Below are 14,403 nucleotides of genomic sequence, written 5' to 3'. Positions count from 1 at the left end.
ACAATAAAATGTAACTGTCAACCAGAACAGTGTGTTTTTATAGCCAAGTGTTTTGGAAAAACCCTCAAACTGATTTTTCTCTGCTCTCATGCCAGCACAAGAACCATCAATCAGCACAGAAGACTTCTGTGACCCCAAACTATGTGGGGATTTCTCCCTAGCAACAAGCAAGCAATCAGTTTGGCAACAAACACTGACTGGATGTCTTCCAATTCAATTCCAACACTATCTACCTGGAAATAGTGTCTGATCCCACAGGGTAAGGGCTCAGCCCCCCAAAGATTGTCCTCTTTCCCTCTCCCAACACTGCTAGACACCAGTCACAGGTCTGGGGCCTCTGGAACTTCTGACAACTGGCTTCAAGTTGGGGTTCCCACAATCCCTCTTGGGGTTCAATTAATTGGCTATAGTGACTCACAGAACTCAGGGAAACATGTTTACCAATTTATTTTATTACAAAGGATACAGATGAAGAGATGCTCAGGGTGAGGTATGGGGGAAGGGGCACAGAACTCCCATGCCCTCCCTGGGCGAGCTGCCCTCCAGGAACTTGCATGTGTTCAGCTATCCAGAAGCTCTCTAAATCCAGTCATCCTGGCTTTTTATAGAAGCTTCGTGACGTTAGCATTCCTTCCCCCAGGGTATGGGATGGGACCCTCTCTGGAATGGTGGTCTTATGACCCACAATCAGATTACAGACCTGCCTTGGGGCAGGTGAAAGGAACACTGGAGAAAGTCAGAGAGGCCTAACATACCAACATTGTAACAAAAGACTGTAACAAGGACTCTGGGAGTTATGAGCCAGGAATCATAGATGGAAACCTATACATATGTGTGTATTTATATCTATTACTACATCAAGGAAAGGTTTCACACACTGGTATGAAACTGGAAATAATTAACAGGAGAAAACTTGGAAAATTTGCAAGTATGTGGAATTAACACTCCTGAACAACCAATGGGTCAAAGAAGAAATCAGAAATATCTTAAGACAAATGAAAATGGAAACACAACATACCGAAATTTATGGGATGTGGCTAGGTGCAGTGGCTCATGCCTGTAATCTCAGCATTTTGGGAGGCCAAGGCTGGCACATCACTCGAGGTCAGGAGTTCAAGACTAGCCTGGCCAACATGGTGAAACCCCCATCTCTACTAAAAATACAAAAAGTAGCCGGGCGTGATGGCAGGCACCTGTAGTCCCAGCTACTTGGGAGGCTGAGGTGGGAGAATTGCTTGAACCTGGGAGGCGGAGGTTGCAGTGAGCCAAGATCACACCACTGCACTCAAGCCTGGGCAAAAGAGTGAGATCTATCACACACACACACACACACACACACACACACACACACACACACACACATTTATGAGATGCAGCAAAAGGAGTTCAAGAGGGAAAGTGACAGCAATAAATACCTAATTAAGAAAAAGAAAGATCTTAAATAAATAACTTTCCATCTGAAGGAACTAGATAAACAAGAACAAACTAAGTTTGCAGAGGTAAGGAAATAATACAGATTAGAGCACAAGTGAAATAGAGACTAGAAAAACAAAAGAAAAGATCAGTGAACTAAATTTTTTTTAAAAAACGAAAATTGACAAAGCATTATCTAGGCTAAGAAAGACAGGAGACTCAAATAACTATAAATGAAAGAGGAGACATTACAATGGGTACCACAGAAACACAAAGGATCTTAAGAGACTACTATGAACAATTACATGCCAGCAAACTGGATAACCTAGAAGAAATGGTTAAGTTCCTAGACACATACAACCTAGGAAGACTGAACCATGAAAAATAGAAAATCTGAATAGACCAATAATGAGTAAGCAGTTTGAATCACTAATCAAAAATATTCAAACAAGGAATATTCTCTAAATGTTTGGTAGCATTCACCAGTGCAACCATGTGGTCCTGGGCTTTTCTTTGATGAGAGACTTTTTACTACTGATTCAGTCTCCTACCTGTTATTGGTCAATTCAGATTTTCTTTCTCTCCATAATTCAATTTTGGTAGGTTTTATGTGTCAAGGAAATTATCCATTTCTTCTAGTTAATCCAATTTGTTGGTTATAATTGTTCAGAGTAGCCTCATGATCTTTTCTATTTCTGTTGTATCAATTGTAATGTCTCCTTTCTCATTTCTGATTTTATTCACGTCTTCTCTTTTTCTCTGCTAGTCTAGTTAAAGGTTTATTGATTTTTTTAGCTTTTATAAAAGCCACCACTTAGTTTCATTGATCTTTTCTGTGTTTTTCTAGTGTCTATTTTGTTTACTTCTGCTCACTCTGTGCTCTATTAAGAGAGAAAGTATAAAGTCAAGGAAAGATCACTGGAAAAAAAGTTTAAAAAACAGATATGGGGCTGGGTGTGGTGGGATTACACCTGTAATCCCAGCACTTTGGGAGGCTGAGGTGAGGAGTTCAAGACTAACCTGGGCAACATAGCTAGACCCTATCTCTTAGGAAAAAAAAAGTTTTAAAAGTAGTCAGGCATGGTAATATGTGCCTGTAGTCCTAGCTACTTGGGAGGCTGAGGCCGGAGGATTCTTTGAGCCCAGGAGTTCAAGGTTGTAGTGAGCTATGATCACACCACTGCACTCCAGCCTGTGTAACAGAGCAAGGCCTTGTCTCTAAAAAAAAAAAAAAAAAAAAAGGGAAAGAAAAAGATAGAGGTAAGTTAGTTTCTCCAAACCTCAGTCATAAAATGGAAATAAAGATATTTCCCCTGCATATGGAAGCATCCTTTAAAATGTAAACTTGATCATTCTATAAACAATTGTTAATGAATTAAACCTGTGCTCTGGACATGTGCTTTCTGCCCCTTGAAACAAGATGAAAAACTTGGTTTATTGCACTTACATTTCTCTATTCCAGGTAAATAATTTGCATTTTCTAGAACAGTGATTCTTTAACTGTGTTGTTTTAGCATTTTGATTACATTTGTTTATAAATTATTATTATTATTATTATTATTATTATTTTGAGACAGGGTCTCGCTCTGTTACCCAGGCTGGAGTGCAGTGGTGCGATCTCGGCTCACTGAAACCTCCACCTCCTGGGTTCAAGCAGTTCTTGTGCCTCAGCTTCCTGAGTAGCTGGACTACACATTTTTTATTTCTAGTAGAGACAGGGTTTCACCATGTTGGCCAGGCTGGTCTCAAACTCCTGACCTCAAGTGATCCAGCCGCCTCAGCCTCTGAAAGTGCTGGGATTACAGGTATGATGAGCCACCATGGGGTTATATTATAAATAAATATTGTCACTAATAAAAATTATGAATAAACAAAATTTGCAAATGATTTTATTAATAAATTAAAGTGGCCAGGCACAGTGGCTCACACCTTTAATCCCAGCTCTTTGGGAGGCTGAGGCGGGCAGATCACTTGAGCCCAGGAGTTCCAGATCAGCCTGGCCAACATAATGAAACCCCATCTGTACTAAAAATATAAAACAATTAGCTGGGCGTGGTGGCGTATGTCTGTAATCTCAGCTACTCAGGAGGCTGAGACAGGAGGATTGCTTGAAACCGGGAGGCAGAGGTTGCAGTGTGCCAAGATCGCGCCTCTCCACTCCAGGCTGGGCGACAAAGCAAGACGTCGTCTCAATCAATCAATCAATCAATGAGAGTGGATGCAATATTATCCCTATAATAATATTCTCAGTACCTTGCATTCATATATGCTTTTATTACTTTAGCAAGCAAGGAACACTGGGTATTGCACATAACTTGAAGCCTGTTTATCTCAGTTAAGTTGCTGCCAGTAATCTTGGTCACCTTTCAGGAGTGTTACAGATGAACATCACCCATTCTCTAACTTTAATTTTTCTAAATTAAATGAATTATGAAATATAGTTGGCCCTTGAACAATGTGGAGGTTAGGGGTCATCAACACATCCCTCACCGCACAGTCAAAAATCCACGTATAACTTTTGGCTTCCCAAACACTTAACTACTAATAGCCTACTGTTGACTTTACTGATAAACCATCTATTAACACATATTTTGTATGTTATATGTATTATATGCTGTATTTTTTAACAATAAAGCAAGAAAAAAGGAAATGGGCCGAGTGTGATGGCTCACACCTGTTACCCCAACACTTTGGGAGGCTAAGGCGGGAGGATTGCTTTAGGCCAGGAGTTCGAGAACAGCCTGGGCAAAATAGTAAGAGTCCGTCTCTTAAAAAAAAGGTAAAAAAAAAATTTTTGTTTTTTTTGAAACAAGGTCTCGCTCTGTCACCCAGGCTGGAGTACAGTGGCACGATCTCACCACATGGCTCACCACAGCCTCAACCTCCTGGACTCAAGTGATCCTCCCACCTCAGCCTCCCAAGTAGCTGGGACTACAGATGCACGCCACTACACCCAGCTAATTTTTATTTTATTTTATTTTTTTCGTAGAGACAGGGTCTCACTATGTTACTCAGGCTAGTCTTGAATTCCTGAGCTCAAGTGATCTTCCTGCCTTGGCTTTCCAAAGTGCTAGGATTATAGGTGTGAGTCACTGCTCCCAGCCAAAAAAAAATTTAAGAAAATGTTAACAAGAAAGTCATAAGAGAAATGTATTTACTGTTTGCTAAGTGGAAGTGGATCATCATAAAAATCTTTATCCTTGTAGTCATCACACTGAGTAGGCTACAGTGGAGAAAGAAGAGGAGGGGTTGGTTTTGCTGTCAAAGACCTCATTGGAGCTGTCTCAAGAGTAGCAGATGTGGAAGAAAATCCACTTATTAGTGTACTCATGCAGTTCAAACCCATGTTGTTCAAGAGTCAACTGTACAGTGAACTAAAAGCACCAGTTGTCCTCCCCTGCTTAAGGCTCAAGTGTGTCTCTAGCCTATCTAGTATAGAAAATTTTGCTCTGGAATGGGCCTTCTACTCCCAGGTTACAAGTCCAATATCCAAAGGTAAAACTGATCTACATATTGATGAAGTCCAGTAAAATCACTTCAATCATGCTACTATGCAGGCTATTCATTTAAAAACTTTAAAAACTAAACACTATGTTTGACTTAGAAAAGAAAAATGGCAAAGGGAGAAATACTAGCAGGCAAGGTCTTGGTCTAGTTCATTATCCTGGCCTAACAACATGCATCATAAGTAAGGTGGTCACAGGACCTGGTTTGCCTGGTATAGTCCTGGTTTATGTCAGCTATCCCAATGTAATTATTAGTAACACCCTCTTTCACCCCACACATAAAGTGCTTACTATTGTTTATCAATATATACCCTATTTCTAGCAGTGCACAGCATGTATTAGGTGCTCACTAAATATTTGTTAAATGAATGAATGAATGATGAGCCATATAAAGAGACTGGCCCATTAGACAGAGTTCTGAGAATTTAGTTCTGCAGTAAAACAGTAAAGAGACTGGCCCATTAGATAGAGTTCTGAGAATTTAGTACTGCAGTAAAATAGTATGAGCACTGTAGTGGGTTGAATTGATGAGTACCCCCGAAAAGATATGCCCATGTCATAATCCCTGTAATGTGGGAATACTACTTTATATGGCAAATAATGTAATTAAATTAAGGGTCTTAAGAGGAGATGCTTAGCTTGGATTATCTGGGTACAATCACATGTATCCTTAGAGAGGCAGAGGGGTTTTGGGGATGCACAACACACACACAGACACACACAGAGAAAGGCAATGTGAAGACAGCAGAGATGTGGCCACAGCCAAGGAATGTACACAACACACACACACACAGAAAGGCAATGTGAAGACAGAGCAGAGAGATGTGGCCACAAGCCAAGCATGCCAACAGCCACCAGAAGCTAGAAGAGGCAAGAGTTGGATTCTCCCCTAGCGCCTCCCTAGAAAGTGCACCCTTGCCAATGCCTTGATTTGACTTCTGACCTCCAGAACTGTGAGAAAATTAATTTGGGTTGTTTTAAGCCACCAAGTTTGTGGCAATTTGTTATGGCAGCCAAAGGAAACTAATGCAAGCACCTTATTCATGCAAAAGTGATAAGAAAGGAATATTCCCATTATGGCTATTCATGTTGCTGTGGGGTGGGGGAGCTTGATGTACCTGGGAAAGTATGAGATGCTGCCACATATTAACGAATTGCATTAGAAAAGTCACCAAACTTTCCATTTCCCAATATATATAGTGGGGGAAATAATACATCTCTACTTCCTCCAAATAGTTTGTAGTGAGCCTCAATTGAGATAATGTATATTCCTGTATTCAATAAATATTTAATGATGCCTAGTATATGCTAGGAACTATTCTAAGCTCTTTATCTCTTGCTGTCCAATACATTCCCTATCCAGAATCTAGTCATCTTTTTAATGTGAAGTTTTTTGTGTGTGTTTTTGTTTTGTTTTGTTTTTGAGACACAGCTTTGCTCTATTGCCCAGACTGGAGTGCAGCTGTGCAACCTTGGCTCACTGCAACCTCCACCTCCCGCACTCAAGCAATTCTCATGCCTCAGCCTCCCAAGTAGCTTGGATTACAGGTGTGTGCCACCACACCCAGCTAATTTTTGTATTTTTTAGTATAGATGGGGTTTTGCCATGTTGGCCAAGCTGGTCTCAAACTCCTGGTCTCAAGTGAGCCACCTGCCGCAGCCTCCCAAACTGCTGGGATTACAAGCATGAGCTACTGTGCCCTGCCAGAAGCCAGTCATCTTTTTAAAAAATCTGTGGAATACAACATGACAGATAAAGTTCCTGCTGCCATTCAGCTTAACATCCTAATGCAGTGAGCAGACAAGACACAAGAATGAATGCAAAAAATCATTTCAGATAGTAAGAAGGACTATGGAAAAGACAAAAACAAAAAAAAACTAAGAGGGGAAATGTAATAGAGTATCTAGAAGAGGAAACAACATTACATGGGATGATCAGGGAAGGCTTTTCTAGAGAGGTGGCCATTCAAGCTGAAATCTAAATTATACACACACAAAAAGCCATTCTGTAAAAAATTGGGATAAGAGCTTTTGGGCAGTGGAACTTAAAAAAAAGAAATAGCCATAGTTTTTGCATACTTGAGGAATAGAAAGCTTTGCATGAGCTTAACATATTTGTAGAAAGGGGCCAGTGTGACTGAATAGAGATCAAAGGGAACATAGTAGGAGTTGAAGTCAGAGTGATAGTCAAGGGCCAGATCATGTAAGGTCATATAGGCCACGCTAAGGAGTTTGGATTTTATTGTGGATATTATGTATATCCATGATTAGAGGGTTTTAGGCATGGAAGTGGCATTATCTGATTTACATTTTTTAAAGATTACTGGTTCTGGGTAGAGAATGTATTGGACAGCAAGAGATGAAGTTGAGGGATGAATTCTAGGAGGCTATTGCAGTAATCCAGGCTAGGGAGAATGGTGGTTAGATTAAAGTGATAGAAATGTAGATCAAGAGAAGTGGACCAGTTTAAGATATATTTTGGAGATAGAGCCAACAGAACTTCTGATGGATTGAATATAGAAGGGACAGAAGAATCAAAAACGATTCATAGGTTTTTGACCTTAGTAACTGACCGTGGTGAACAATGGAGAAAAACTATTCTGAACATGTTAAACTTGAAATGCCTATTAGATATTCAGGGGGAAATTTCAGTAGGCAATTCAATACAGATGATATACATCTATAGCTTGCATGGGGGGAAAGGTAGATAAGAGATAGAGACATGAATTTGGAAATTTTTATCATATAAATGGGATTTAAAGTCATAGGATTGATGAATTACCTCGGAGAAAAGTATTCAGAGGGAAGAAAAGACCCAGAATAAATCCTTGGTGGTACTTCAATATTTATAGGTCAAACAGAGTAGGAGAACCCAGCAAAGACTGAGCTGAATTGGTAAAGGCAGTAGGAAATTCTAGAGAAAAAATAAATAAAATGGCAGCAAGATAATATGCACAAATATTTTCTCAGCTCTTGTGTATGTAAATAATTCTATTGGTAATACAAGAGAAGTACTTGATATCAAGAACCTTATGATTTTGGAAGGGAGATAAAAATAAGCCCATAAAAATAATAAATTATTTAGCCTTCTAACTAATGATCTCCCTATCTCCAAGTTTGCCCTCCTTTTCTTTTCTTTTTTTTTTTTTTTTTTGAGACAGGGTGTAACTCTGTTGCCCAGACTGTAGTGTAGTGGCGTAATCACAGCTCACTGCAACTTCCTCCTCCTGGGCTCAAGCGATCCTCCCATCTCAGCCTTCTGAGTGGCTGGGACCACAGGTGCACCACCACACCCTGACTTATTTTTGTATTTTTTTATAGAAACGGGGTTTCACCATATTATCCAGGCTGGTCTTGAACTCCTGGGCTGAAGAAATCCACACACCTCGTCCTCCCAAAGTGTTGGGATTACAGGCGTGAACCACCACACCCCAGTTCAATCCATTCTACACAAACTGTAAGGATAGTTTTTCTAAAACAGTACATGGATCAATTAAAACTGATCAGCTTTACACTAAAACTGATCAGAGTTCTGATCAGTTCAAGAACTTTGTCTGTGTAGTCAAGTCCCAAATCATCATTCTGGCACTTAAGGAAGAATGGCCACAGCCTCATCTCCCTATTATTCCCTTTATGAAAGCTTATGGTATCTTTGGTTTAGCACTGATTCCACCCTTCCCTGCCTTTTATATAATTGGTGTATTTATCTTTTGTCTAGATTGTGAGATCCTTGGAAACAGGTATTATGCATATAAACTCAATAACTTTATTTCTTTTTCTGCCAAGTGAACAAAGACCTCCAAATTGTAGTCACATGTAATACAGAACACTGGTATTGGTCATATCTCCATCTCTGATCCACCCTTCCTCCCATGCAAGCTATAGATGCATATCATCTATTTTGAATTGCCTATTGAAATGTCCCTTTGAATATCTAATAGGCATTTCAAGTTTAATATATTCAGAATAGTTTTTCCTCCATTGTTTACTACCTGCCAGTTGCTTAAGGCCAAAATCTATGAATCATTCTTGATTCTTCTCTCATTTTCCATATTCAATCCATCAGAAGTTTTAATGGCTTTATCTCCAAAATATATCTTAACAATGGAGCAAAATTTGAGTACCATAGAACCAGATTAGGGATAACTGTAGGAATGAAGGAGTGATACACCTAGGAATAGGAAAGTAGTCTGAAGCCAGATGATAAAGGTCCTTTTATGCCAAACTAAGAAGTTCAGATATTATTGTTAGAGGAGAGCTATTGAGGTTTTTGAGTAGGGCACTTATATATTCATTTTGTACTTCAGGAATGAATCAGTAGAGGGGATAAATGAGGGTACCCTCAAAATTGCAAGCAATGAAGTATTAGAACTGAATTTTTAGGGACAGCAATACCAGCCTAACTGGCTGCATAAGAGAAGACTGGGTGTTTGGGAGAGGCAAAAAATAAGGCCAACAGAAAAGGTAGGGTAGGGACAGAATATAAAGGGCTTGAAAGCCAGGTAAAAGCATATAAACTGGGATGCCTGGGTTCTAATAACTGTTTCCCTACTTGGAGAAACTCCCCTTATCTTTTTTAAACCCCAGTTTCCTTTTCCTGGGATTTGCTTCAGCTATAAATGTTGTAATTTTCTATAATGCTCTGACCTGCTACAGTGGCTCTGAAACCTTGACTGCACACTGGAATCACCTAGAGAGCTTTAAAAGCTACTGATGGCTAGATCTCACTACCAAAGATTCAGATTTATCTGGTCTTAGGTGCAGCCTGGACACTGAGATATTTAAAAGTTCTCCAGGTGATTCTAATGTGCAGCCAAGGTTGAGATCAACTCATGTAGAAAATAGTGAAGCACTAAGATTCTTAAGCATGGTAATAATATGTTAAAATTTAGTTTAGTTTTTTTGTTTTTTTTGTTTTTTCCAAGACGGAGTCTTGCTCTGTCGCCCAGGCTGGAGTACAATGGCATGATTTCAACTCACTGCAACCTCCACCTCCTGGGTTCAAGCGATTCTCCTGCCTCAGCCTCCCGAGTAGCTAGGATTACAGGTGCGCACCACAACGTCTGGCCAATTTTTTGTATTTTTAGTAGAGACAGGGTTTCACCATGTTGGCCAGGGTGGTCTATAACTCCTGACCTTGTAATCTGCCTGCCTCAGCCTCCCAAAGTGCTGGGATTACAGGCATGAGCCACCGCGCCTGGCTGAAAAAAGGTATTTTAAGAAAGACTAACAGGAATATACAGACTAGTAGGGAAAGACTACAGAAGATCAACTAGAATTTTGCAATAATCCAGGAGAAAAGTTTAGTAAGGGCTGGATTAGCATACATGCAATGATGTTGTAGGGAGGAAGATGAATGCAAGAAACATTTGGAGAGAAGGAGCACCAGGATTCAGTAAGTGATTGAATGTTAAATCTGAGCAAAAGGAAAAAAAATATGGTCAAGTTTCTAGCATAGAAGAATAATAGACTCCTTAACAAAATTAAAGTAGTTGTGAAACAGCTGGTTAATCAATATTATTGAGAATATGGAAACTAACATTAAATTCTAAGTCGGGGTCTAACCTACGTGCCTTACATACATTATCTCATTTAATCTTTACAACCACCATATAAATACTACTATCATTCCGATTTTACAGTTTTAGAAACTGAGTAAGAGTAATTAAATTATTTGCCCAAAGTTACACAGTAAATGGTAGAGAAGACATTTGACCTCAACTGGTCTAACTACTTTTCCTCATAGGAAGATGACCAGTTTACATATGGAATCTGTTGAATTTGAGCAAACAACTCAAAAAAGCAAAATGGCTATAGAGGCCAGATGGGAACATAAATGAGTGAATCAAGTCAGATGCAACTGTGGAGAAATCAAAACATCGAGAGAAGGTAGTTCTACTTAGTTATGCTTGAATGTTGCCCTATGAGAATTTCAGGCCCAGTATTGCCATATTTTAAGATTTTTCATGAAAAGATGGAAATCTGGATTTGTATGCAAAAATTTGTGTGAATATCAAATTCAAGTGTTTAAAACTACTGTGGCTCAAACTATGGCTTCAAGTTTGCATCTCTGAGCAAAAGGCTGTTGGAAATTCAGAACTGGATGTAAAGTGAGAGATCTGGGCTGAAGGTAAATGATTAGGGAATTCATAAGCACAGAGAGGATGGTAGATGCTTCCAAAACAGTATGTGTTAGAATAGTAACCAGCACTTGACATGATTAGTTAAAATAAGGCAAAAATATATGAGTTAACAAGTTAGTCAGGACTTAGAGAAAACTGATAAAACTAGCAGTGGAAAACTAGCAGACTTAAGTGGGTATATTTAAAATTCAATTTTCAATGAACTAAAAGCTAAATTCCAGACAATGACTCTGTGTGTGTGTGTGTGTTTAAGATAGGATTTCGCTCTGTTACCCAGGCTGGAGTGCAGTGACATGATCATGGCTCACTTCAGCCTCGACCTCCAGGGCTCAAGCCATCCTACTGCCTCAGCCTCCCAAGTAGCTGGTACTACAGGCATGTGGGACACAGGCTAATTTTTGTATTTTTTGTAGAGACAGGTTTTCACCACGTTGCCCAGGCTAGTCTCAAACTCCTGAGCTCAAGCTACCCACCTGCTTCAGTCTCCAAAAGAGCTGGGATTGCAGGCATCAGCCACCATGCCTAGCATTTTATTTTTTTTGAGACAGGATCTCACTCTACTGCCCTGGCTGGAGTGCAGTGGCGTGACCATGGCTTAGTGCAGCCTCAAAGTCCTGGGCTTAAGGGATTCGCCCATGTCAGCCTCCCAAGTAGCTGGGACTACAGATGCATGTCACCACATCTGGATTAATTTTTAATTTTAGAGATGGGGGGGTCTCCCTATGTTGCCCAGATTGGTCTCCAACTCCTGGGCTCAAAGAATCCTCCCAGCTTGGCCTCCAAAAGTGCTGCTGAATTTTCATATATCCATGACGTGATGGAAACATTTAGAAAGTTTCAATGTTTATTTCCCTCACTTAAATATATTTCGATTTGAAAAAAAACTATTGTCTAGACTTCAAAGAGTATATTCATCTAGCCCTAAAAGCTAGATGTTCTTATAATTAAGACACTTAAAATTCAATAATTAAAAATTTTTTACACTGGGCACAGTGGCTCACACCTGTAATCCCAGTATTTTGGGAGGCCCAGACGGGTGGATCACTTGAGGTCAGGAGTTTGAGACCAGTCTGGGCAACATGGTGAAACCCCATCTCAAGTAGAAATACAAAAATTAGCTGGGCGTGGTGGCACATGCTTGTAATCCCAGCTACTCAGGAGGCTGAGGCACGAGAACTGCTTGAACCCAGGAGGTGGAGGCTGCAGTGTGCAGAGATCACACCACTACACTCCAGCCTGAGTGACAAAGTGAGACTCTGTCTCAAAAAAAAATTTTTTTTTCTAAAGGTTTTACTTAATGTTTTTATTTAATCTTTGCTAATTGTGAACCCTTCTGCAATGGGCTTTGCAGGTACGATTTCAACTTCAAATCTTTCTATTTAAGTGAGAGAAAGGTAATTGAAAGATTGTTTTATCAATATTTTTACTTTTTCTACCTTAGGTTATTCCCTTCCAGGTCAATTTCTCACATAAACTCATATCTGCAAAGCCCATACCAAAAGGGTTCCCAATTAGCAAAGATTAAATAAAATATTAAGTAAAACCTTTTTTAAATTTTTAATTACTGAATTTTAAGTGTCTTAATTATAAGAACATCCGACTTTTACGGCTAGGTGAATATTCTCTTTGAAGTCTAGACAATAGTTTTTGAATACTACTCTTCTTAGTAAACTAATGTATTCGTTCATTATCAGATAAATGGAATGTAAACCAGTTATGTAAAAATATCACATATACTAATGCATTTTTCCAAACCTTAAAGCCCTACAGAAATTATAAAGAAACATTATTCTCGTGTTATCATGAAGCTAGAAGGGTCCAAAGAAATACAAAGTGAAACCTCTTGTATTTAAAACAAAACTTGCACCACCACCACCACCCCAAAATAGTTTTTTTTTTTTTTTAGAATATCTCTTCCAAGTTTTAAAGTTCAAGTAAAATTGATGTAATAGCAATAAGTGTAGTAACAGTAAAGTAGGGAATGGTGACTATTCTATAGCAAAGATCTACAGATGTTGGAATTGTGTTAAAAACCTTCAGAGCCACACCACAGCCTTCTATTACATTTAAATGTCGTAGGAAAAACTGCAATTTTCCGGAAAATTGTATTAAGGACCAGGTGCTCTAATACCAAGAGCTGTTTTGACACATCAAAGGTTAAGTTTGGGTCTTTGAAAATCCTGCCTCTTACTGAACACTTTAAAAGTCATTCATGTTAAAACACACACATTCTTGCCTTTGACTATACACTGTAAAAGTACTACATGTTAAAATGGAGATGGGGACATTTTTGTTGTTTAAGTTTATGGAAGTATGACTCCATTTTAGTATAGCTACAATGTCGCAAACGATGGAATAAGGTACTCATCAATACATTACCTGGTAAGTATAAATAGTTCAACTTGCCGGCTTTGAAAAGCTTAATCCTATTTCTTATGGTGAACCTTAAATAAAATGAAAATACACAACTGACAATGTTTAACGTGCACTTAAACAAACAAAAAACAAAAAAAAACAGGAGCTAGCAATTCGAAATCCTCCAAACACCCGCGGAAGTCTGACACACAGGGTGTTTTCCTCGGTGACCGCCAGCCGGACATTCCTATGGGAAAAGCAGCTTCTTCTGTGCGGTTCGAAGAAAATCAACCCCTTCCTTTCATCACTTTCTCATTCACTCTGCAGGGGGTGGGCCAATAAGGAGCTGAATGAAGCTCCCCTTTGGCATCCGGGCGCACGTCTCGCCTCCTCCCCACTACTTTCTGGGTTCCCTAAGGCTGCCGAAGCCGAGGACCTGGAGCCGGGTAGTGTCCCGGCGCTGCGCCCGGGGGCTCCAGGCCTCAACCCGAAGGGCTCAGCCCCGGGAGAGGCCAGGCACGCGAGGGCAGCCACAGCTCCAAGGGGCGCCAAGAAAAGCAATGCTCACTCGCCACGCACAGGGTTCGGGGGAGGTAAGGGTGCGTTTTCTTCCCATATTCCCGGTGAGAAAACGAGGTCGAGGGAAAAGGGGATGATACAACTGGAGCATGGCATATGGACTCAGTGAACAAAGGGACTGGAGCAAGAAGCAGCAGCCACGCCAACGCAGACTCAAAAGGGCTCTCCGGCTTTACGCACGCAACCCTCATCTCGACAGCGCTCGGCGCCCCTTACGCCACTGGCTCAGCCTCAGAGACTTCGCGAATATGGCTTTGCGCACTGCGGCGGGGCTGCGCCGCAACCGAGCTCAGCCCTGTGGCTCCTCCTCGCTGCCCTGCGCGGATTGGTGGCAGACGGCAACCGGGCCGCTGATTGGGCGGCGAAGGAGCCATTCGGGGAGACTCTGGTGGGTTCGGCTGCCCCAA

General features: G+C 40.4%; 1 long non-coding RNA gene across 1 annotated transcript, besides 3 other annotated features; it reads right to left on the bottom strand.

The window, feature by feature from the left end:
* Positions 1–431: 431 nt before the first annotated feature.
* Positions 432–14,066, bottom strand: LOC101928053 (uncharacterized). The gene is made up of 3 exons (NR_120540.1): positions 13,997–14,066; positions 13,442–13,506; positions 432–2,631 (listed from the first exon to the last, which is right to left on the bottom strand). It is a non-coding gene; the product is annotated as an uncharacterized LOC101928053 (long non-coding RNA).
* Positions 13,353–13,959: an enhancer, noted in NCBI's record as "NANOG-H3K27ac-H3K4me1 hESC enhancer chr11:10830951-10831557 (GRCh37/hg19 assembly coordinates)". NCBI's record gives its function as "activates a minimal SCP1, AML or CMV promoter by ChIP-STARR-seq in primed H9 embryonic stem cells {active_cell/tissue: H9 hESC(primed)}" and the evidence as "EXISTENCE:reporter gene assay evidence [ECO:0000049][PMID:30033119]".
* Positions 14,035–14,084: an enhancer, noted in NCBI's record as "active region_4450". NCBI's record gives its function as "activates an Ori minimal core promoter by ATAC-STARR-seq in GM12878 lymphoblastoid cells {active_cell/tissue: GM12878}" and the evidence as "EXISTENCE:reporter gene assay evidence [ECO:0000049][PMID:35858748]".
* Positions 14,265–14,314: a silencer, noted in NCBI's record as "silent region_3154". NCBI's record gives its function as "represses an Ori minimal core promoter by ATAC-STARR-seq in GM12878 lymphoblastoid cells {active_cell/tissue: GM12878}" and the evidence as "EXISTENCE:reporter gene assay evidence [ECO:0000049][PMID:35858748]".

This window comes from Homo sapiens, chromosome 11 (assembly GCF_000001405.40).
Source record: "Homo sapiens chromosome 11, GRCh38.p14 Primary Assembly".
Lineage (NCBI taxonomy): Eukaryota > Metazoa > Chordata > Mammalia > Primates > Hominidae > Homo > Homo sapiens.
This window is presented reverse-complemented; position numbering and strand designations above follow the sequence as displayed.